Below are 26738 nucleotides of genomic sequence, written 5' to 3' on the forward strand. Positions count from 1 at the left end.
AATTACTCTCTACCCTCCCTTCCCCCTATCCCCCGGAAATTGCCAATTGGCTTTTTGTTTCTGTGGATTTACCTATTCTGGGTGTTTTATGAAAGGTCACATATTATATATGAATTCATTGTTTATGATCTTTATTATAAACACCAAGTAAAAGTATGACACCTTGGAAAATGAAATTAACTCACAGCTTTTGTAATCACCAGAGGCTTGTTTTCATGAGAATTTATTAAATCTGATAAAACTGGTGTTCCTTTGCTTATTGCTAAATACCTACAGTTGACAAGCATTTCCTAGGGTGCAATCAGAAAGTGTAACTGAAATAAACTAGTATGATTAATTTTGCAGTATCCATGTAATGTATTTAACACTTAAACAGGACTTACCATAACCCAGTAATATTCTAAGTTCCTTACAAACATTAATTCTCTTGACTTTGATTTCTACCCTATGAGATAGGTCTAGTGTTTTCTATTTTACAGATAAGGAATTTAAGGCATAAAGATTTACACAGAGATTATGTGGAAAATCCGGTAAGTTTGGCTCCAAATCTATCTTCTTCAGATAATCTGCATTATTGCTCTCATTTATTGACTAACTACTGTGTAAAAGGACTATCTATCACCAACCATTGCCATGGGATTTACAGGGCCTCTTAGGGGAGCAGTATATGTCTTTGGCCCATTGACTTGGCTTAGCCTCATAACATACTTTGGTCAATTTAATGAAAAGATATGATGCATTCCAGTTCTGAGCAGAAGCTTTAAGAATCTTATGTGTTTCCACCAGTTGTCTATTTTTCTGGCACAAAATGACATGTCCTAGATGAGGAATGATCTTTCAGTCTAAGGCCCATAATGAAAGACACTTGGAGAAGAAAAACTCTACAGCCCCGAAAACACTATGTGAAAAATAAATAACCTATTATTTTCATCCACTACCGTTTATGAACTTGTTGTTCTCACTTAGCTGAAGATGACCATTACTGTTCTTAATCACTGGGCTACATATTTTTTCAAATATCTTGTTCGTTTCTTAAAGGTCAAAGTTATATCTAAGACACTGAATGTTTTAGTGCCACACCATCATGACACCATTTCTTCTTGAAAGCAGACATTGTTTTGTTAATTCCAACTTTCATTTTAAAATGTACACAGTTTTTCAGAGTCCATTGGACAACTGAGTATCTTCTAATTATTTTAATAAGAATCCCTCGTATAAAATTAAGTCTACTTTCAAAACTTCAGTGTGTCTAAAATTTAATGATTTTATATTTATTCTTAGATTGTACAAAGAACTTAAGGGGCTGACTCATTTAATTCTTATGAAATGATTTTAATAACAGAATTCAAATAATAAAGCAAAATTTTCCATTTTTTTCTTATTTATGGCATACATAAATATCTACATTTTCTATATAATTAATCCATATTATTTCTTTTTTCTGTTCTTCCTTATTCTTTTCATAAATTTTTCTTTAACATTTATTCAACAATGACAATCACTACAGAATACTTTTTAGGACTTAGGACAGGGCCTGTCACATTGTAAGAATGTAATAAAGGTATAAAGAATCAATTACTGAATGCTTCATTAAATAAATGAATACATGGTATGAAAGTTGTCAAAATCAAAAGTCATTTCTGTTTAAAAAAAAAAAAAGAAACAAGCTAACAAAAAAGACAAATAGAGCCAGGGAAGGCCAAAATAGAAGAGTTCTTACGCATAAATGCCTGATAACAAAAACTACCACAAAAGACTCTGCAAAGACAAGCTTGCACAAAGGCCATCGCAAACTTACATCAAAAATATGTCTGCGAAAACACGTGCCCAGCCACTGCCTGTGCACCCTCAGACTGGCATCACCGTTGTTGTTAAGCCTTATAGCAAAGAATAATTATCTCAAAATGATGGCATAATCATCCTCATTTTTAAAAAGTCTTTTTTACCTCCTTGAATATGCGTATCGTTTACTATGATACTCATATTCCCTTTACAATGCCTTAGTTTTGAATAAATATGATTTTGTTTTAGAGAGCCTCTCTCTGTTTGTTATTTAGGTTTACAATACATGTAACATTTATAAAACTGAGTAGGCATGAAGGATGATTTATAGTAAAATAAAAAACACGGTATGTGCTCCTATCTCCTTTTTTAAAACACAGAATACTTATTCTCTAGGCAGTTTCTCTCTGTTTTCTTCAGGATTTGTTTGCTTCAATCTCTTATAGTTTTGTTTTTTTCATTCTCTCATTCAAAAAAATGGGTCAAAATGGTTCACTTCACCCCTCTTCAATTTCTTCACACTTCTGTGTTCTAATCTGTTTCTACTCACAACAATTCTGACATCAAATGTGTAGGAGATTTTCCTATACCAACTAATTCTCCAACTCTCCGCACATCAACTGGGCGCTCTGTTATTCCGTTCAATTCTGACACTAGCCACCTGAAATGAGTGCAGACCCCACAGGTTAAAGACTCAGTCCCCCCACTTCAGATGCCAATCCAAAATCCTAAGCCTCTCATACTTCTGGCTGATTGGCTACAAATTGAAGCTTCCCATGACGTCCTCTTCAGGTTTAATAATTTACAAAAACAGCCAACATGATAAGCAATAGCTATAAAACTTTACTTTCTATTACTAGTTTATAAAGGATAAAAATTATTACCAGTTTATTACAAATGATACAAATGAACAACCAGATGAGGAGGTACATAGAATGAGGTCTGAAAAGATCCCTAGCACAGAAGTTTCTGTCTCCATGGAATTGGAGTAGGCCACTCTTGTGGCACATGGATTTACGTGCCAACACAGAGGTCTTCTAAACCCCACTCTTTAGAAATTTATATGAAGGTTCCATTGTGTAGGCATGATTAATTATATTATTGACTGTTGGTGATTAAACTCAATCTTCAGCTCCCTCTTTCCTCCCCGGAGGTCCAGGGGTGGAACTGAAAGTTCCATCCCTTACATTATAAGCCTCTTTCATGACTAGTCTCTATCCTGCAGGTATCCAGAAGCCCTGCCATCCAAGAGTCATTCATTAGGATACCAAAGCCAATCCTATGACTCAGAAAATTCCAAGTGTCTTAGAAGCCTTATATCAGAAACCAAGGACAAAGAACAAATATTACAACAAAAGATGCTTCTCTCATTCCAATCACTCATGAAATTATATAGCTTCCCGGAGCTCTATGCTATGAACCTGGTAATGAAGACCAAATATATATTTCTTATCACAGTATCACAGATTTGCACGGGGACCCATTTTCATTGTCTCTTAATTAAATAATCAAGTACAACATTTCTTAACATTTTCATTTTCCTGAAAAAAATGTAATCATTATTATTTAAAAATTTCCTCACTGATTATGTATGTTTATTAAATACCCACTACAGGCCAAGCAGGGTGCTTGGTTAGTCTCAAAAGTATGTTTCTAAAAAATTATCCAGATTGCTACATTGCCATTTTCTTGAAGGTTTCTAATTCCCATGATTTCTGTAAATTACACTTGATGATCCACTAATGTATGTTCATCGGGCTTTTATCAAGGTTTGAGCTCCCCATCGCCTCTAAAAACTCATCAGAAGGAACAGTTTTAAAAACGAAAATAAATTGCTTATTTCAAATTTAAGAACTGAATAAGAATTCCAAAATCAATGAACGCACAAGTCACTAACCAGAAATATAATTACAATCATTTTTTAAATCAAGACCATATAAAATATTTGATTTGGGGAATTAGAAGGATAATGCCTTGAAGGAATACCTGAGTTGAAGAACAATGTTTTTTAACATTTTTTATATGTTGCACCTAGATCAATGTCAGGTACAATATTGTTGAAATGCCTGAGATGAATAATAACTACACCTGACATCTGCAATTGGTATGGGAACCTATTAAAATTCTTTCTTTCATCCTGGCTAAAATGGTGAAATCCCATCTCTACTGAAAAATACAAAAAATTAACCGGGCGCAGTGGCGGGTGTCTGTAGTCCCAGCTACTCGGGAGGCTGAGGCCGGAGAATGGCTTGAACCCGGGAGGCGGCGCTTGCAGTGAGCCGAGATCGCACCACTGCACGCCAGCCTGGGCACTCAAAAAAAAATTTAACTGTATATATTTATATATTCAATGGCAACTGTAGTTTTCATTAAAACTTTTTTAATGAATTTTAATGAAATAATATTACTTTATTAAATCTTTTCTACTCATTAATACATTTTCCTAACCATCCATTTTGTGAAAGAACAAAATACATTTCTATAATATTAGGTGACTTAAACATTATTTTATGCAGCTATTATAACTCTCTCTGAGTTGCTAACTTATATTACCTTGGCAAATGCATTGTTCTTATAAAGTTTGAAAAATTAAAGAACAAAACCTTAGAAGAGCTGTAATGGTGGCTTCTCTCTGAGAACTAAAAAAATGATTGCATGCTAGACATGGTCTCTCGATTTGGTATGTTTCCTGCATACCTTCTCATGTACTTTCTTGTTAGAAAAATCTATAGTAGAAGAGTTGACACCTGAGCTAGGGGAGGTGCCCAAACACTGATGGGACTTCCATCCCAGCCAGAGTCAAGGCTCTTGACAACTTGGAATAAGGAATTCAAGGAACCAGTCAGAAAACAGTGAAAGTAAGACAATTTGTTGCAAAGCCAAAGTACGCACTCAAGAAAGGGGAGTGCAGGCATACTCAAGAAAGTGAGTAGAGCCCAGTGGGGTTTGGAGCTTCTATTTTTATGAGTTTCTTTCACCAAGGGGTGGAATATTCATGAAGATTTTCATACAGATTTTTGGAAAAAGGAGAAAATTTCTGAGAACTGTGGTGCCAACCATTTTTAAACCAAATACGAATGTTCCTGGAACTGTCATGGCACTGGTGGGCGTATTATTTAGTATGTTAATGAGCACATGATGAGGTCCTAGGTGAAACTTAGGTCACATCCAGCACCATATTGGGTCCAGTCAGTTAGCCAGCTTGGCCCACATACTGGTTTTTGCCGTCTTACCGTCTTAGCAGTCCCTAGCTTATGCAACTGTTTCAACAGTTTTTATTTGCCAGTCATGCAAAACTGCTGCTTGGAATTTTCCATTATCCTGTGACCACCCTGGATTATTCCTGTCTCAGAGTCATTCCTTTGATACTTTGCTGCAGCAGAGTGGAAAAACACATTTCTGCTTCGTTAACCAACTAATACGTACATATTAGTTGGTTATACAAAATCTAACTTCAAACTTCAAGAGAAATGGTGTACAAAGAGTAGAAAAGGAAAAAAAGTCTGATTTACTCTCTTTCTTCTTTATTTACCATTGTGTTTATTTTCTATAAGAAATACATCTATTTTTCTTATTAAGAACACCTGAATTTCCAGGCTTCCCTTTTTTAAATGATAAAATTTGTTGGGTTTCTCCTTGTTCCTACAATTATCAGCATCCTTTTTCTAAGTACAAGCAAGCAAGTCATTAATTATTATCAATAGTGGATTACATTGAGAATCAACTGGCTTCCGGTATGCAATCAATACCAGCTATTATACACAATAAAACCTATAATCAGCACACAGCCATTTTACAGAGTAGGTCAGAGATTAGTATAGCAGAAATGTGTCAGGCTACAATAATCTAAGTTTGTGAAGCATAAACTATTTTTATAAAAACCAATTCAGTTACAGTAACAAAGACAAATTTACCTTATCATATTACTTAAGTGATGATTGGGATGTCTGGGAGGGTGTGTACAAACCTCTCCACCACCTCCAAAGACATCAGTGAATCATTGAAAATGCCCCAGGTTATGTCATGGCAGCAAGAAAACTATCTGAGAAATGTTTCATCCTCTTGCTTTGTAGCTCTCACCATTATAAAGTACCACTTCAGACTCTAAGCTTCCTTTTTAAAGCTTATTGTCTGTCATATTTTCTTTCCTCAGTTTGATTTTACCTGCATGGTAGATTTGATTTATATTGAAAAAGATACACAAAATTACAGAGAACCAGAAGTGTTTGGATCATGAACTGTCTTCCAGGAACTCCTTCTTGCTTCTTGTGAATAACAATGATAACAGAAGAATACTATAGTCCAGTTGTTTTTGTTTTGTTATATTTTATGTTATCTATACTATGCCACATAATGCTAGTAAATAATAACTCCCTAATTATTTACATTTATTGTACTTTTTCTAAAATAGAGCTAAACAGCTGTTTTCTTCATTTATATAACTATATTATTGTTTAACAATTTTAGTTATGGAAATCAGCAAAGTACTAACTAACTCTTCATTTTGACGGGGGGGAGGTCCATAATATGTAAATATTAAGATATTCTTAGAATGCCTCTTTCATAAACTATAGGATGAAAAATCAAAGGGTCATATTCTCACAGTTAGAAAGAAATATAGTTATAATGTACGCAAAATTTGTTAAACGTACAAGCCTTCACTTCAAAAAAAAAAAAACTCAGAATAAAATAAAATAAACTTGCAGTTTTCTTTACCTTCATTAAGTGTTGATGGTGCTTTGTCCTGTTGTTATTTCTGGTGCCATGATCATCAGCACCAACTTTGTGGTTGATGAATATTTTATTCTGTTTATTCTAAAAGAATGTAACAGCATCCATCTCTCTCACATTTTGAGAAATCAGTTATGGTGATATGTAGTGAGAGTTTTAATAACTATAGTTACTTTCTCATCCCCATTCAAAACTATCAACCTGAAATAGGATGTTTGTGACACCTCCAAGACTATAGTTTAAAGGTCACCAATCACTTCCTCATTACAAATCAAATAGCTTGATCACACATTGTTTATGGACATGGTCCAAAGAGTACCAGCATAGGCATCTTGCTGATCTGTGAAGACAGATAATGGAAATCTGGGGCTGCTGAGGAGACCTGACTTCTGAGACATGATATTAGAGAAGACATGCAGAAAAAGAGCTCCAGAAGTCTGTAGAGAAACTTATTCACAGTTCTGGCTAGTCTTTGGCTGGTTTATAAGTGTAGATGCACAGGGTAAGACTCCATGAAACCAGGCAAAAAACAAAAACTAATAAAAAAGAACATCTATCTGGAATTGTGAGCTAAATAATTGTTAGAACTTATGAAGAGAGTTAAAAAAAAAATCTGTGTGCAAACTAGCCAGAGAGATAAGTCCTTCTTCTACATTCTGGACATTGAGTAAAATTCCAAAAACATCACACTATAAACAAATAGATATTCTAGAGTTTACAGTAAAGGCAACTCTAGAACTGCTCAAACATAGCTTAAAACCAAAGTTTAAATTAGCATGCTGATCCTCAAGTAAATTAAGTGCCTGCAAGAACCAAACTCATTAGTTTCTTAAGAAACACAATAAAATGGAGATACTCAATATTAGAGCATTCTGAAAATCTAGAATGTAATAAAGGTTATCTAGACATGCAGTAAGTCAGGACAATATGCCCAATAAATAATAAATAAGAGATAAATAGGGAAGCATTAAAGGGATGGAAACCATTAAAAATCAACCAAATGGAAGTTCTGTTAACAAAAATACAACACATAAAATGGAAAATGTATTAGGTAGACTTGGCAGCAGATGAGACACTGTAAAAGTAAACTTAAAATGACTTTGAAAATAGGGTTGTCAAAAACATTCAATAAAAACAAGAAAAAAATATTGAAAAATAGTTGAAGAGAGCCTCAGTGATCTGTGGAACATTTTAAAGTGTTCTAACATATGTGTGATTGGAGTGTCATATTAAGAAAAGAGAGAGAGAAAAAATAGCTAAGGAATAGTAGCCAACATTTTTCAAAGAATCACAATAGACCCCAGGGAACATAAACACAAACAAATCTATCTCAAGCTAAATGATCATCAAAATGCTAAAAACTAATGATTGTGGGAAAGATACTGAAAGAAGCCAAAGAATCCAGGTCACATGCAGGGGAAAATCATAAAATCTATTTCATAACTTTTTATCAGACGCAGTGGAAGTCAAAAAAAGGATAACTGAAAATAACATATTTAAAGTTATTGGGAGGGAGCGGGGGAAATATCAACCTACAATTCTATACCCATCAAAAATAGCCTTAAAAAACAAAGCTCAGGCCAGGCACGGTGGCTCACGTCTGTAATCCCAGCACTTTGGGAGGCCGAGGCGGGCGGATCACGAGGTCAGGAGATCGAGACCATCCTGGCTAACATGGTGAAATCCCATCTCTACTAAAAATACAAAAAAAAACAGCTGGGAATGGTGGTGGGCACCTGTAGTCCCAGCTACTCGGGAGGCTGAGGCAGGAGAATGGCATGAACCCGGAAGGCGGAGCTTGCAGTGAGCCGAGACAGCACCACTGCACTCCAGCCTGGGCGACAGAGTGAAACTCCATCTCAAAAAAAAAGAAAAAAAAAAGCTCAAAGAAAGATTTCTAAACAATAAATGCATGAGAGTATTTGTCACCAACAGACTTACACTATTTAAAAAGTTATAAGAGAAACTTGTTGTAAAACATTGAAAAAAAAAAGTTGTTGATGATAAAAGGAAGTAATACCAGATGGAAACACCAAGAATTGCAGTGCACTGGAAATGATAAGTGTTAACAAATACATTTTTTTCTCATTTAAAAATTATGTTTAAAATAATTCACTTTTTTAAAACAAATGAGAAGTGGCTTCAGGTGGCTGACTACAGGCAGCTGGTACTCACCTCCTCCACAAAGAAGAGCTAATATAGCTAGTAGATGATCACACTTCAAATAGATCATCCAAGAGAGAACAGGAATTCAACAGAGAAGTCACAGGAAACACTTAAAGCAAGGAAAGAGAGGGGAACGAGGCAGCCTCCTTGGCCAGCCTTGGCTGGAAACCTGGAGAGGTTCCTCAATAGGGGGAAAAGGTAAGTGAGAGACCCCAATGGCCCACATTTCCATCACAGGCTCCTGCAATCGTAACCTCAGGAGAACCCCTTGACTCTTGTGGGCCCTAAGACTATGATACAGAACACACAAGGCATTGTTGGATTTTTTTTTTATCCCTACCACTGCTAATCTTGTCATTTCACTTCTAGTAACTGCAAAAAAATTTCCTCAGCTTAGTTATCAACTACATTGTTAGTTTTGCCCTAGGGTTCCGAAGTTCCATGGTTCACAACTCAGAAGCATTTTACATTCTGCTCGATTTAAACAAGGTATTTCTCTAAGTTTTCACAAGAATGGTAAGGTGAAAACCATAGCTTCATTTCCTAAATAGCTATACCATCAGCCAGGAAGCTCTGCAGTCCATACCCTGATGCTTGTGCATAGAATATTCCTCACCTCCTTGGTGAAACAGTGAGCCACACACCTTCCGACAAGTTTGTTTGTTTGTTTGTTTATTTTGAGGCGGAGTTTTACTCTTGTTGCCCAGGCTGGAGTGCAATGGCATAATCTTGGCTCACTGCAACCTCGGCCTCCTGGGTTGAAGCGATTCTCCTGCCTCAGCCTCCTGAGTAGCTGGGACTATAGGCATGAGCCACCACGCCTGGCTAATTTTTGTATTTTTAGCAGAGATGGGGTTTCTCCATGTTGGTCAGGCTGGTCTCGAACTCCCAACCTCAGGTGATCCACCCACCTTGGACTCCCAAAGTGCTGGGATTACAGGCGTGAGCCACCGCGCCCAGTCCCGCCGAGTTTATTTTTAAGGTGACTTTTGTTATTTTGAAGTAGCATTGTGCAAATGTAAAGTGCAACAGCAGAAGATGAACACTGCTGGAATATTCTGAAATATCAAAATACTTACTTTTTTCATCCAAAGCTCTGAACCCTTTAAAGAAAAGAATAGTGCTGAAGTGTATTTATGTATTGTTTGTGTGTTATGGGGGGGGGGGGGTGGGAAAGAGAAAAAATATAAAATAAAACGTAAATTGTACATGGATCCACAGATTGCATGATTATTGTGAACATTTAAATACTGTTAATTATATCAGATTTTCATTCATTCAATACTAGCAAAAGCTAGTACCAGAATTAATAATAATAATAATAATAACAACAACAGCTTTGAGTTGCTTACTATCTGAAATACGTTATTCTACCCACCTTCTATTTGCTAGCTCATGCCATTTTCACAACTGATGAGAAAGGTGCTATTATTTTTTCCTACTTTACAAGTGAGAAAATTGAAGCACAGTGATTGTACCTCATAGGCCTAAACTCACAGTCAAGAATAGAGGATATGTTAAACCTTCAATGGATCCAGGGCAGTCCATTACTAGATATTCAATGAACCTAATAATATGACATATTGCCTTACCATGGAAACTGCAAGGATTTCTGAAAATAATGATAGCATCTTCATATTTCATTGCCTCTGCATTAACTTTTCTCTGTGAGAAATTGTGAATGCTCTATTTCTAAGTATATAGATCTAGATTTATCTCTTTCTATATATGTATATGCAGACATTTGTAGATGTATATTCATGTCATTTGTGTTGCTACTTAAAAAACTCAGTTCTTATAGGTTTTTATATTTGTCTAACTAGTAAACTTGAATTGGAATTTTATTTAAAAAATTTAGATTTTTTATTTGCATCTCACTAAATAATCCGTGTCCTAGCGTTACTCATCTTAAATTTAACAACATTTTATATGTTAACTTGTAGTTACAGGCATCTTGGAGGACAAGTGCCCCCTTTGACCTTGGGCTTCGGGTTTTATATGTTGGCTGGCCTACTTCTGGCGTCTTGCATCTCTTTTCCCTTGACTCTTTCTTTGGGGTGGGCTGCCTATATGTGCAGTGGCCTGCTAGCAGTTGGGAGGTGAGCATGCGCAGTGTTTACTGGAGTCGTACACATGCTCACTTGAGTTCCCTTTACCTGCAGAATGACCCTGGAAGGTCATACTCCACCATTTTTCCTCTTAATGTGCATGCTTAAGCCCCTTCGTCGAGCTCCTGAGATCTTATCAGAAAGCTGCTGATCACCAGTTTTAGGTGTTTCCTATCTATAGGGACAGTGCCTTTCCTCGGTGCTGGCTGCAATCTGTTAATATTTTAGAGAGGCGGTGTGACAACTGCCTGACCATCACCTGATGGTTGCCTGATTTTCTTGGTTGGGTGTAGGGGCCCTCTCCTGCCCTGTTGGCATCTGACTAGCTACCACGTGGAACACTATGTCAATTTAAATTCATAGACTACCCAAGGAAAATAAAAGGTACCTTGCTATAACATCAAACTTAATAATTTGCTTTTTAAAATTTTCATTTATTTATTTATTATTGATACTTAAAACTTAATATTTGTTCATCTACATGGGGTTCTTGGGATATTTTGTTACATGCACAGAATGCATAATTATCAAGTCAGGGTATTTGGGTTATATATTACCTCAATTATTTATGATTTCCATATGTTGGGAACATTTTAACTTTTCTAGCTATTTAGAAACATAAAATACATTGTTGTTAACTAATAGTCACCCTACTCTGCTACCAAATATTAGATTTTTTTTTTTTGAGACGGAGTCTCGTTCTGTCGCCTAGGCTGGAGTGCCATGGAGTGATCTCAGCTCACTGCAAGCTCTGCCTCCCGGGTTCATGCCATTCTCCTGACTCAGCCTCTGGAGTAACTGGGACTGTAGGCGCCCGCCACCATGCCCGGTTAATTTTTTGTATTTTTAAGTGTTTCACCGTGTTAGCCAGGATGGTCTCGATCTCCTCACCTCGTGATCCACCTGCTTCGGCCTCCCAAAGTGCTGGGATTACAGGCGTTAGCCACCACGCCCGGCCCCAAATATTAGATCGTATTCCTTCTCACTGTATGTGGTACACATTAAACAATGGTTTTTCATCCCTCCCACTGCTGCTCTCACACTCTTACTATATCTATCATTATATTTCCTACTTCCATGAAATCAACTGCTTTTGCTCCCACGTATGAGTGAGATCATGTGATATTTGTCTTCCTGTGCATCTAGGCAGCTTGCTTGGGTACTAGTAGTGGCTGCAGTGAGCCAGGCAGGCGGGTGGGTTCTTGGGCCCTTGGGAAGTGGATGTGGCAATGGTGATGGCAGTAGCAGTGATGAGACAACCCTTCGGTTCCCAAGAAGTTCACATTTGTGCTATCAGTGATAGTGACAGGTTGGGAGGGCCAGTCCCCAGGCCTGCAGGTGGTGCATACAGGTGGGTGCCACGTGTGATGGTAGCAGTAGGTTGGAGGTGCCTAACCTCAGGCCTCTGGAGAAATGTTCAGGTGATGAAGGTGGTGGACTGGACTGGGTATTGGAGGGGGTGGAGCCCAGCCTGGTGGAACTGTCATCTGGCCCTCTGATGGTGTGTGCAGGTACTGGCTGTGGTAGGCCAGGATGGGGTGATCTGCGACCTTGGTGGAATGCTTAGGTAGGGGCAGCAGTGACTATGCTTTGGCTTTGCTACTGGGGAGGGCAGAGTAGCTTTCAGTGGCAGTCCCTGCAAGCGGGAGGAGGCTGGAGAGTGCATAGATTGCTCGTGCTTGTCCCTGGTGGTGGCAGCCTGTAGTGTCAGTGGCTGAGGGTAGGGGAGCCCTTTCTTGGAATGTGTGAAAGTGCATAGAGACTCCATTGTTGGGGGTACCAGGGTCACTACCAATGGCTTGTACTTATGCCTCAGTGATGGCAGGAGCCAGCAGCAAGGGAGGCTGTGGCAGGGTAGGCTTTCTTCAAGGTGCATGAAGATGTGGGGCCCTGTAATCAGGGGACAGGGTCACTATCAGTGGCTCATACCTTGGCCCCAGCAGCAGCAGCCAGCAGTGGCAGTGACTATGCATGGGACATGTCAATGGTGCTCCAGGATATGGAAATGTAGTGGCTTTTGGGCCCCAGAGCATGATGCAATCTGGTAGGGGGTGGGATCTCAAAATGTTACTGTACTGTCGCTGCTTAGGACTGGGAGGTGTATGGGACTCAGCATGACCTCCCTCTCTGGAGCAACATTATCACAGCTCTGTTCGTTTGTTAGGGCTGCCATAACAAAGTATTACAACCTGGGTGACTTAAAAAACAAAAATATCTTTTGTCTCCATTTGGGGGCTAGAAGTCCAAGATCAAGGTGTCAAAAGTTCTGGGTTTTTTTGGGCACTGTAAGAAAGTTCTGTTTTTTGGCATGGTACTGGGTCTTGGTAGAAACTGAATGCTTAACTGTGGGCTGCCCATTTACCATCTGACCTGAGCCCATCATGAACTGTTATCTGACTTACCAAGCCATAAAGTTGAGTATGCATAGCAGCACTCTCATCAAATGGAAGTGGTGTATATGTGATTGGGTCCAAGCAGGCCCTGTAGGGACAAGTAAGCCATATGAACTGGTCCAAATGCCCATTGTCCCCACCCCTGCTTCATTGCCTTCTTTCTCCCAGCCTGCCCCTATGACATCATGAGAACTTCCCTATGAACAATCGATAGAGAAAGAAAATTCAGGCCTGGTTTACAGATGGTTCCACAGGATATGAAGCAACATGTAAAAGCATGCAATGCCGCAGTACAGCTTCCTTCTTGGACATTTTGTAAGGATGGTGGTGAAGGGAAATCCTCTCAGGTGTCAGAAATTTGAGCACTGAAATTGGTTGCTTACTTTTCTTGGAAGGAGAAATAATCAGGCATGTAATTATTTACCAAATAATGGACCTGATGTTCAGGAACTTGGAAGAAACATGATAGGAAAATTGCTGACCAGGAAATTTGGGAAAGAGGCATGTCAATAGACCTTTCTTTTTTTTTTTTTTTTTTTTTTTTTTTTTTTTTTTTTTGAGACGGAGTCTCGCTCTGTGGCCCAGGCGGGAGTGCAGTGGTGCAATCTCGGCTCACTGCAAGCTCCGCCTCCCGGGTTCACGCCATTCTCCTGCCTCAGCCTCCCGAGTAGCTGGGACTACAGGCGCCCGCCACCACGCCTGGCTAATTTTTTTGTATTTTTAGTAGAGACGGGGTTTCACCGTGTTAGCCAGGATGGTCTCGAACTCCTGACCTCGTGATCCGCCCGCCTCGGCCTCCCAAAGTGCTGGGATTACAAGCGTGAGCCACCGCGCCCGGCCGTCAATAGACCTTTCTTAATGAGAAAAAAAGATTTGAAGATGGTTTGTGTCCCATGTGAATGCTCAACAAAGGATAACCTCAAGGGAAGGATTTTAATAATCAAGTGGATAAGATGACCCGTTCTGTGAATACCAGTCAGCCTCTTTCCCCAGCCACCCTTGTTATCACCCAATGGGCTCATGAACAAAGTGGCCATGGTGGCAGAGATGGAGGTTATGCATGGATTCTGCAACGGGAACTTCCACTCACTAAGGCTGACCTAGTTACAGCTGCTGCTGAGCGCCCAATCTGCCAGTGGCAGAGACCAGCCCTGAGACCCCGATACAGCAGCATTTCCCGGGGGCATCAACCTGATGGCAAGTTGATTACATTAGACTGCTTCCATCGTGAAAGGAACAGTGTTTGTTCTTGCTGGAATAGACACACTCACTGTTAATATATTTGCCTTCCCTGCATGTAATGCTTTTGTATTCATTGATTTACAGAATGGCTTATCCACCCTCATGGTATTCTACACAACATTGCTTCTGATCAAGGAACTCACTTCATAGCAAAACTATAGTAGTGGGCTCATGCTCAGGGATTTAACTGATCTTATGTTCCCCATGATTTTTAGGTAGCTGGCTTGATAGAATGATGAGATGGCCTATTGAAGACTCATTTATAGTAACAGCTAGGTACAATACCTTACAAGACAAGGCAAGATTCTACAACAGAATATATGTGCTCTAAATCAGCCTTAAATATATGGTACTCTTTCTCTCACAGCAGGATTCATGGGCCCAGGAATCAAGGAGTAGAAATGGGAGTTGCACCATCCACTATTACCCCTGAAGACTGACTAGCAAAATTTGTGCTTACTGTGCCCACAACTTAATGCTCTGCTGGCCTGGAGGTCTTAGTTCCAAAGGGAGGGCTACTGCCACCAGGAAACACAATAATTGATCCGTTGAAATGGAAGTTAAGACTTCCACCCTGCCACGTCAGTCCTCTGAATAACAGGCAAAAAAGGAAATTATTGTACTGGCTTCAGTGCTTGATTCTGAATTCCAAGGAGAAATTAGACTGCTACTTTATAATGGAAGTAAGGAGGAATATGCCTGGAATACAGCAAAATTCATGCAGTGTCTCTTAGTATTAACATGCCTTGTGATTAAAGTCAATGAAAAACTGCAGCAAGCAAATCCAAGCAGGATTATGAATGGCCCATACGTTTCAGGAATAAAGATTTAGGTCACCCCACCAGGTAACAAACCATAATCAGCTGGGTTACTTGCTGAAAGCAATGGGAATATGAGATGGGCAGTGGAAGAAAGTAGTTTTAAATACCAGTTATGAGCATGTAACCAGTTATAGAAACAGACTGTGATTGTCATGAATATGTCTTCCTTGTGTTGTTATGAAGATGCTTGTGTTTATATATATGTATACACATATTTATAAACATATATATACACACACATATGTATATACACACACACACACACACACACACAAATGGTCCCTGACTTACAATGCTTTGACATGATTTTCCACTTATAATTTTTCAACTTTACACTGGCACAAAGGTGGTACCCATTCAGTAGAATCCATACTTCAAGTATCTATACAACCTTTCTGCTTCTCACTTTCAGCACAGTATTCAATAAATTACATGAGCTATTAAACATTTTGTTACAAAAGAAGTATTTATGTTAGAAGATTTTACCCAACTGTAGGCTAAGGTAAGTGTTCTGAGCACATTTAAAGTAAGCTAGCTATAACGTTTGGTAGTTTATGTGTATTAAACGCATTTTTGACTTAGAATATTTTCAATTTACAATGGGTTTATCGGAACATATATAATCTTTGTTTTTTTCTCTCTTATCCCCATAGGTAACATAAGATCTATTAACTTTATAGTATAGTATTTAAGTATTGTTAAATTGACATAATAGTGTTTAAGTTATGAGATATATCAGATATGGGATATCAAGAGGAAGAGTAACTATCACTCAAGGACTTTGCATTCTTTTGGGGGAACGAGTTATTCCATTTTCAGTTGTACATAAGACAGTTGGATCGTGTTAGGTGGAAGTATGACATTGTTATTGTATTTATTTGTAGGTTAAGTATGCTTTAAGGAGATTCATATGGTTGCCAAGCTGACCAGGAGTGGACTTGTGATGGTTAATCTTATGTGCCAACTAGGCTTGGACACAGTGCCTAGACATTTGATCAAATATTATTCTAAATGTTTATGTGAATATGTTTTTGAATGAAATCAACATTTAAATTGGTGGACTTTGAGTAAAGCAAAATGCCCTCCATAATGTGGATGGGCCTCATCCAATCAGCTGAAAACCTTAAGAGAACAAATATGGACCTGTCCTGGGCAATAGGAAGTCTGTCAACAGATGACCTATGGACTTGAACTTCAACCTCACCTCTTCCCTGATCTCCAGCATGTGGGCCTACCCTGCAGATTTTGAACTTGCCAGCTTCCCTAATCCATGTGCCAATTCCTTCAAATAAAATAAATCTTTCTCTCTTCCTCCCTCTCCCTCTCCACACACACCACCCCCCCACACACACACATCCTATTTGTTCTGTTTATCTGTAAACCCTAATATGATAAGGTATGATTCCCTTTAAGAAGTTCTACAACAGAGAAAACTAACTTATGGTGATAGAAATGAGAATAGGGGTTGTTTCTGAAAGGGTGGGAATTGATGAGAAAGGGGCTAAGAAGGAGATTTTGAGATTAGAGAAATTATATATATATATATATATATATATATATATATATATATGAATGTGAGTTACATATCTGTATGCATTTGTCAAAATCAATCAAGCTGAATACTTAAGAGCTCTGCATTTTACCATATGTATTAATTAACCAAACCTCATGTCTTAAAAAAGGAGAAAAGACATAGGTGTTGCCATTGTAGATTTGGAGAAATATTATGCAAAATTTTATAACATAAATTCTTCATAATATAATGTTACTTATTAAAAGACTGTACAATTATATATAACCTTCTACTTGTACTACAAACAAAAGTGTGTGCATAAAAACATTGAAAAGAGAAACACAAAAATAGTAATGATCTTTATTGATGGGAATGTAGATAATTTTAATTTTGTTCTTGATATTTACTTATGCTATTTCATTTTCCAAAAATGAATATGTATTATTTTTATAATCAGAAATAATCAATGAAAGGTTTTTAAAGAATAATTTTTATAGCATATATCTTGCTTTTACTAAAATTGCATTGTATTAGTTTTCTATTGCTGCCATAACAAATGGTCATAAGGTTAATAACTTAAACCAGTAGTCATTTAGTATCTGAGAGTTCTGTAGGTCAGAAGCCTGGGTTAGCTCAACTAGTTCCTCTGCTTTGGGTTTTACAGTGCTGAAATCAAGACGTCAACCAGCTGGTCTTTTTTCGGGAGGATCTGAGAAAAATCTGCTTTCAAGTCCATTTAGGTAATTAATATAATTTGGTTTTCTGTCGTTATAGAAAGAAGTTACAGTTTCTTTGCTGGCTGTCTGGCTTTTCATTTCTAGAGAGGTGCCTTCCTCAAAGTCTTTTCAATTGCACAATTTGGGATAAGGTGTTTCTTGGTGGAATCTTGTCTGATTAATCAGGAGATTCTCCTTTTGTGTCTATATAATTTATATATCATTTATATGTATATAAATTATGTGCACAGTTCCTTCCTTCCTTCTTTCCTTTCTTCCTTCCTCCCTCCCTCCCTCCTTCTTCCTTCCTTCCTTGCTTCCTTCCTTTTTTCCTTCCTTCTTTTTTTCCTTTCTTTATATTAAATCTGAGGCTCTCTTTGGTTTTACATTTTCCTTAGATACTGACAAAACAACTAAAAAGTGCCTGTATCTACATTGTGGTGTTGTATGTATGTGTATGTTTGTTATCAAGATAAACGTTTGATTTTGACTGCATGAATTTTAGAAATATTTAGACAACAAGCACTATATTAAACATAACAAAAATATTTTTAAAAATCTAAAGCAAGAAACAAATGACTTCAGAATGTAAACCTTCTTAAATTAATATGTAAATTTAGGGCTATGCTAATAAAAACAGTATCAAGTTTGAATGGGTTGTGCTGTTGTTTAGGTTTTTTGTGTGTTTGTTTGCATTGCTTTTCAAAATCAACCAGAAGTTATTTAGGTAAATATTAAAATAATTGTCCTGATTTCTGACAAGAGCTTCTAGCATACAGAAATAGTCTTGATTATTTCAAATGCCTCTATGTATGTAAAACTTTGGTGATGGTTTAAATAACGGTCGAACTTATATTTATCAAAATACAATATTTACAGTATTTCATTCTAGGAGTTGCAGTGATGTAAAAATGATGTATTCATAACAGATATCTAAATAAATCTTTATTTAAAAATACAATCTTAGAAATTATGCTGTACCTAGTTAAATAAGAGCAATTTTAACATCAATTAAATAACAGTAGCTAAACCAAAAAGAGATATATCAAAATTACTTTACAATGACAAGGCAGATATTCTGCTGTGGTTGTGGGTGTTCAGGACTCCGATGCTATAGAAGCTGAGCCAAATTTGCGGGTGACCCTCAGTCCCTGAGGCCTCAATGCATGACTCTCCCTGGGGGACCTTATGACTCAACGGACACCCTGGCATCTCTAGGCCTCTATAAGCTGCATGTGGAGCAGCAGAAACAAAAGGGTCCTTTGGGAAAAACTGGAACTTGAACTTAATATTAGCCTTTATTTGCCTGTTGTGATCATTTTCTTTTCTGAGTCCATGGAGCTTTCTCTCAGTCAACAGAGCAGCCATCCAACTTTCTTAAGCTCTTTTCTCAAATCAGAGTCTCATTTCAATGGGAGAAAGAAGCACTCCATAATTATTTGTCATTGTTTTTAGCCACCTTCTTGTAAAAGTTTTGTACCTGATATGTGGAGTTCATGTTTCTACACACTTTGGGAAATTCCTTCTCTATTTCTAAGCAGTTCACTGATTTTCTCTAAAGTTGTATTACATTTTCTAGCTGAAGCTTCCAAATTTCCCTTTCAAGCTGCACATTTTCAGACTGCAAAGATGCCTGCTCAGTTTGGAGACTTTCTACTTATCCTGTAAGCTCTTCATTCATTTGATTTTCTTCACACCGTTTTCTGAATCTTTCCTGTTTTTCTCCTTAAATAGGTCATTTTAAGTGACCTATTTAAGTTAACATCCACAGTAAGACTCTTTAGATCAAGTTCTGACTGATAGGCCAGTGATTACCATTTTCTTCCTCCCTCATTTTCTCTACTTCCAGGTTCCCACCATCCTTGTGATCGCTACAGAAATTGGGCAACTGTATGGTCTTCAGCAGGATTCAGCCAGAAATTTTAATTAGCTCCCTTTATCTTTCATGACCTCTTGTGTCTGAATGCTCCAACAGTGCTATTTGTTCCATTTTGTTTCTCATTGCACAGTTTCTTAGTTGAGTGGTTCTGGACTTTGCTGAAGATGAGAGTTTTCATTCAAGCTGTCTTGTATTTGATTCCAAAGTTGTTCTCCGTCATTCTGTGATGTCTTCCAGATGTTCCACATTGATCACTAGGGAAAGTTTTCGTGAGTTGCTTTTCTGCTCTTTTCCCAAATTTATGGTGTCTTCAAGTCATGACCTGCTTCCATTTTTTTTAATGTCAACAAACACGGCGTTTGTGACATCAGAAGACTGGCTTCCACCACAGCACGCCTAGATTTGTTAAACTTATGAGAGCAAGAGAGATTTCCACCTTGAGAAATGCCAATAGTGTCTTAAAAGGAAAAATATAAAACAGGACATTTATTAAGTTTGGGGCATGGCTTTGAGCAATTTAAGGAAAGTTTTTCAAGGTAGGAAACTGGTTGGATCTGAAAAATTTCACATGATAGAGTTGAAGACTGGTAAGCATGGCCAGTTAAGGGTCTCAGGGGAGTTTTGATAAACGAACCATTATCTTAAAAAGACAGCTCTTTTCCCAGATGAGCAAACTGTATGCTTGAATAATTTGGTTAACAAGAATTTTCTAAAGCAGTGACATTATTTACTTGCTTGCCATCTGATATTCCAGCATTTGAGTTTCCTGGATCAGATAGTTATTATGATGAAAGGTAGTCTTGGTTCTCAGTCTCCATCCAACTTAGATGCTTGAGTAGCCTCATTGCAAACTATACTCATTCTGCTTCTCTGTGAACTTCAGCTGTCTTGCATTCATGACAATTTGCCCATCGGTCAGATATACCCAATTTCCTGAGTCATCTCTCCAATGGTACATTAGATGTTCTTTTTTTTGTGGATAAACACCTCAAAAAACAATTTTGGCGCTTTGAGATAGTGATATACAAATTTATTTCTCGTAAACAATGGCTTGGGATTTTCTAAAATATATTTCTAGTTTATATTGAAATGTTGCATTTCAAGCTTACTGAAAAGAAGAGTATAACCTCATAACATGACAATTTGTAATTGACTATTTGAAAAGTTTGAAATAGTTTATTGTTAAAAAACTGCCATTGGCTAACTCATGAGAAAGTGCATGTGCCTTTCAGATTCTAACAGGAGTGAACTAAATCTTATAAACTTATTTGGCTTCCATGTGCTGCTTTAGAAAAATGCTAACTATGCCTTCCTCTTTAATTCAAGTAATTTCACTTTTGGGTCTATGCCACTTCTTAAAAAAAAGGTGAATAAAAACAGAGCGTAGATGATGAGGGCAGAATATGATGCAAGCTACCAATTTGAAAGGCAGTGAATGAAATCTAATTTTAAAATGCAAAATCAAGCAAGAGCCAAGAAAAGAAAATTGCTTTTATTTTTCTATATCCTTAGCAAGTTAGTGATTACTGAATATTTAATGCATCAACCTGACTACCATAGGATATCTTGAGAGCAAACATAACATCTTAAGTTACAGAGTCCCAAGTAACTTTTGCATCAAGAACCCCTAGATTTCATTATAAGCATAAAGCACAGATGTATTATGAATATTCTTTATTGTAACACATTCTCAAACTGTAAGCATCTAATGTCTAATTATAGGTTACTAAATTTTATCTGTAACATATAAGTGAATTAATATTCTTATAGAATAAAAAAATTGAATTGGAAAACTTTGGAGTCTTCTTAAATTAAATTTACTTCCATGTTATCATCTCTTTAACTTATATTATCTTAGCATTTCTATATTTGGATCAAACCTCCTATCATATACTTACTGATTAATTATGTTAAAATTATTTCTTCATAGTTTCAAGTATATATTCTTTATTCCTCTAGTTAGGTTTGAAACTCTTCAATAGTTGGAATCATGTCCTCTGTTGCCCATTTTTCCTCCACACTAAACGCTATGATTTAAATGTTGGTTCCCCTCCAAATTAATGTTTTAATCTATTTGCCACTGTGGCAGAGTTAGAGGTGGGACTTTGTGGAGGTGATTGGACAATGAAGGCTTTGCCTCATGGGAGGGATTAATGTCATTATATTGACTCTCTTTTCCCTCTTTGCCTTTCTACCTTTTGCCATATGATAATTCAGCAAGAAGGCCTAGACAAGATGCCAGCACTTTGATATTGAACTTGCCAGCCTTCAGAACCCTGAGACAATACATTTCTGTTCGTTATAAATTACTCAATATTTAGTATTCTGTTATAGCAGCACAAAATGAACTAAGCCACTGAATACTACATACCCATTATTATAAATGACTCCTAAGGGATCAACCTATCCTTTAAAAATCCTGAAAAAGTGAGTTAATAGATTGGAATTCTATACTTTTCACACCATTCATCACTGCCTTGCCATAGGATCACTCTAAGGGCTCTTGCCACAGGAAAATTATCTTTTTATTTTATTTTATTATTATTATACTTTAAGTTTTAGGGTACATGTGCACAATGTGCAGGCTAGTTACATATGTATACATGTGCCATGCTGCTGTGCTGCACCCATTAACTTGTCATTTAGCATTAGGTATATCTCCTAATGCTATCCCTCCCCCCTCCCCCCACCCCACAACAGTCCCCAGAGTGTGATGTTCCCCTTCCTGTGTCCATCTGTTCTCATTGTTCAATTCCCACCTATGAGTGAGAACATGCGGTGTTTGGTTTTTTGTTCTTGCGATAGTTTACTGAGAATGATGATTTCCAGTTTCATCCATGTCCCTACAAAGGACATGAACTCATCATTTTTTATGGCTGCATAGTATTCCATGGTGTATATGTGCCACATTTTCTTAATGCAGTCTATCATTGTTGGACATTTGGGTTGGTTCCAAGTCTTTGCTATTGTGAATTGTGAATAGTGCCACAATAAACATACGTGTGCATGTGTCTTTATAGCAGCATGATTTATAGTCCTTTGGGTATATACCCAGTAATGGGATGGCTGAGTCAAATGGTATTTCTAGTGCTAGATCCCTGAGGAATCACCACACTGACTTCCACAATGGTTGAACTAGTTTACAGTCCCACCAACAGTGTAAAAGTGTTCCTATTTCTCCACATCCTCTCCAGCACCAGTTGTTTCCTGACTTTTTAATGATTGTCATTCTAACTGGTGTGAGATGGTATCTCATTGTGGTTTTGATTTGCATTTCTCTGATGGCCAGTGATGATGAGCATTTTTTCATGTGTCTTTTGGCTGCATACATGTCTTCTTTTGAGAAGTGTCTGTTCGTATCCTTTGCCCACTTTTTGATGGGGTTGTTTGTTTTTTTCTTGTAAATTTGTTTGAGTTCATTGTAGATTCTGGATATTAGCCCTTTGTCAGATGAGTAGGTTGTGAAAATTTTCTCCCATTTTGTAGGTTGCCTGTTCACTCTGATGGTAGTTTCTTTTGCTGTACAGAAGCTCTTTAGTTTAATTAGATCCTATTTGTCAATTTTGTCTTTTGTTGCCATTGCTTTTGGTGTTTTAGACATGAAGTCCTTGCCCATGCCTATGTCCTGAATGGTATTACCTAGGTTTTCTTCTAGGGTTTTTATGGTTTTAGGTCTAACGTTTAAGTCTTTAATCCCTCTTGTATTAATTTTTGTATAAGGTGTAAGGAAGGGATCCACTTTCAGCTTTCTACATATGGCTAGCCAGTTTTCCCAGCACCATTTATTAAATAGGGAATCCTTTCCCCATTGCTTGTTTTTCTCAGGTTTGTCAAAGATCAGATAGTTGTAGATATGCGGCGTTATCTTACATCAACATTGTAAATTTTTATCTTGGACCTAAGGTCTACCAAGATGTTTATGCATCCTGGAAAATGGAGAAAAATACAGAATTATAAGTTTTCACAAAACAAAAATATTAAACATAAAAAGTTGTGCTTTATCCTGAGATTATATTTATCAAATGCTAATTTTTAGATGGTATTTACCAATATGGCAGCTAATGTCTATGCCAATCGGCCAATTAGTACAAGTACTATATCAGTTGTTTAATATTTTTAATACAACCCAGGGAATTAATTATGGTTTTATATATTAAGATTCTCCTTTTATATGAAATGGTGGCAATAAAGTTTAGTTATTTTATATTCACTTTTCTTTAAGATAGATGTAGCTGAAAAACAACATCGACAACCCTATGTCAGTCTTCTCTCTTTAAAGTATAAAAGTAATTTTATAACCCAGTGATGTCCAAAAGCCTGGGAAAGAGACAAAACTGCTCATTTTAACTCCATGAGATTCCTTGTGTTTAAAAGTAATTTTTTTTTATTTCTCAGCTTCCAAAATTTTATTTGACAGCCTCCATGTTTGCATATAGTATCCTAAAAACAGAAAAATTTCTAGCTTAACTCCCTTGCAAAGTCTTAAATGGCTATAATTTGAAATAGGAATTATGCCATCAAATATGAAGAAAAGAAGTACGGCAACTAAAAATAAACTCTGTCTGAAACTTTACACTTTATGGATCCTACTTTATATGTAATATCAAAAAATCATAATAGTGAGATACGTGAAGTGTATGTTAATTTATGCCTTCTGGTATACATAAGCATAATATTTTTCAGTATGGGGAATATAAATTTTAAAATTATAAAATCTTAAAATGAGGTAAGACCTTTACATCATCTAGCCTAATCCCATGAAGTTCAACCACGATGCCTGTATTTATTTCCCTGACCATATTATTTCTGCTAAACCATACGTAATACTAAAATGTTCACCACCTCACATAGCTTCCTATTGCTGCTATGGAGAGCCTTCACTGTTCTAAAAATCTATCTAAAATTGAATTTGAGTTTTTATCTATTAATGACATTTTGATCTCCAGTTTATCTTTATAGCCATACAGACTGCATAGTTATTTTTCTCAAACATAATAACATTTTAAAGCCTTAAAATATTAATAGGTCTCTCATAAAGGTTAAGGTCTTTTAGAAAACCTAACACCAAAAATTTCAAGCCCCCACCCAGCACAAAGTTAGTTAGTTAGTTACTGAGGTTTTGTATCATAAACCCCAAACTATAGAAGGTGCTCTCTTGAAGTTGTTTAAATTGTCCATTTTGCCTGCAAAACTCAAAACCATAGACTTTCTTGTTCTTAGGCTGTATACTTTTGGGAAGTGATACTGGAACATTTGCCTTGCCTTATACATCACATTCTTGTTCTCTTGTTTCTTTTAACTGATGACAAACCCAGCTGCCTTTAACACATACAACCTCTGCTAACTGCCAGAAAGCAGAGGGTCTCACTCTCAGGATACTTTAAACACATTAGCGTTTGCCTTCAGTATAGATCTCTATTTTCTTCAGCTATCCCTAATGGGTTATCACTCAATTTTGGATACCATAATACCTGAGACAAAAGACATTGTGTTACCTCAGCTAAAGAATTTCTATCAAAAAGGTCTATTTTTAACAGAAGGTCTGCTTTTTTTCTAACCTTATTATTCCTTTATCGCCCTCTTACATAGATGGTATTATTAGGCAAAATTATCCATAGGTCATGGAAAAAAAGAAGGCCTGCTCTTCTTTTGCTTCATTTGTGGAAATGGCTCTTCATTTCTAAACCCAAGATTCTCAGGCTTTATGTTATAGTTACATTTATGTGGCAACTTGGTTATGCTGTGGTGTCCATTTGCTGGTCAACCATTTCGACTATTTAAAGGTAGCAAAAATGGAGGCAGCAACACTCACGGATTGGCAAAGCAAGGAAGCCATTCCTTCCCTAAGACTGAAAGGGCAAGAAAGGAATGCATGGCAGCAGCTCCAGGTGCTAGAGAACATATCAGGGCTTTCCAAAATCCTGTGCAGAAGAGGGGGTGAGCAAGAGAAGAGATACCCTGCCCTCTCTCCCCTTCTATCATCCACTTTCTGCAAGTACTTCCCCCTAGCTAAGTCTAACTGGAAGCCAGAAAGACAGCATCTACATGAACCATTCTCCTGAGGCACAGAGCAGGAAGTGAGGAGCAGGGAATGGAAAAGAATCAGCATGTGACCCTCACTGTAAATTACACCAAAAACATTTGGATGCATCTGTCAAGGTTTATGAAGAATGTCTGTACCTTTAAAGGCTGAATATTGTGTTTCACTCAACATGTCACCTCTCTGGGTCCTCTTCTTCTATGGTTAAAAAAAAAATACTGTAATAGGATTTCTAATTCTCCCTTCTTGCTACACTTAAACTCTGAGAGAAGAAGAAAAAGTAATGAATAAGAAATAAATATTATGCCCCTCACTCCCCACTCTTTGGAAAGTTTAAGTGGATGCCATCAATTTTAATTTTAAATATCCTTCCTCCATTGGACAGATTAATGGAGGAAATAGAGTAGAAACATAATGAGGTGAAGCCCAGATATCTGTGCGAATGTACCCAAATATTAACACTCAGTGAGCTACTATTTGGTATTTTTAATTAAAAAAATAAGTTAATGAAAAGTGAGCGTATACTATATAGAATTGCTGATTAGCTGAATGAGCAGAGCATCCTGGCCTTTCTGTCAAAAGGCACTTATTACTTGGTGTCCCTATTTTAGCCTAGAATGTTCTAAAGAGTGACAGTAAATCATATGTTATGCTGTGATTGCTAGCTCACTATTTTTTACAGGCATATTATTTGGGGTGATAAAAACTAATAGAACAAAGAGAAGCTGATTTCCCACTTACCTAGCAGTTACTAAGCAAAGGATGAATTCCTTTATGTGGAGATTCATCAACCCAGATTCTTTCCATTTTGTGGCTCTGTACCCTTTAGGGTCTATCTGTCATTTGCATCTAGTGAGTACAAAGAAATACAGATCTTTTGGGGTAGGAAGCATACTTTCTTCCTACAAGAGTCGATACAGAAACGGCATGCATTGCTTTCATGCACATTCCATTCTCTGCAATTTAGTCATATGTCCAAACCCAAATGCAAAGAAGACCAAGAAAGTAGGCTGGCTGTGTGCCCCAAAAGAGAAAATTGACTTTTGCTAAATAGCTCTATCACATACATAGGGATTATGAAAATAAACATGTATACATTTAATGATGTCTAAATAACTCCTGATGCTTAAAGTTAATATTATGACAACGTAAAATATTACAGGATAAGTAAGCCTTTCATTTCTATGTATCTTAATGTAAAATATTCATGTTTAATTAGTGTAGACTGAGCACAAATAATGTGTCTTTGCTTTAAATTTTAGGGAAACAAGAGGGGCAAAATATTCTACCATATGTTATTTTCCCATTTAAATTTCTCAAAGGAAAGGTAGGCTATGGTATAATGGT

At 37.1% G+C, this 26738-nt stretch overlaps 1 long non-coding RNA gene and 1 pseudogene across 1 annotated transcript in view; one reads left to right on the plus strand and one right to left on the minus strand.

The window, feature by feature from the left end:
* LINC01692 (long intergenic non-protein coding RNA 1692) overlaps positions 1–26738 on the plus strand; it is a 217197-nt gene that overhangs the window by 171814 nt on the left and 18645 nt on the right. Inside the window, exon 3 of the long non-coding RNA NR_046198.3 lies at positions 17421–17496. This is a non-coding gene — a long non-coding RNA (long intergenic non-protein coding RNA 1692). The remainder of the gene's footprint in view (positions 1–17420; positions 17497–26738) is intronic.
* Positions 18655–19557, minus strand: LOC100419737 (MIA SH3 domain ER export factor 2 pseudogene; annotated as a pseudogene).

Source organism: Homo sapiens, chromosome 21, assembly GCF_000001405.40.
Source record: "Homo sapiens chromosome 21, GRCh38.p14 Primary Assembly".
NCBI classification, from domain to species: domain Eukaryota; kingdom Metazoa; phylum Chordata; class Mammalia; order Primates; family Hominidae; genus Homo; species Homo sapiens.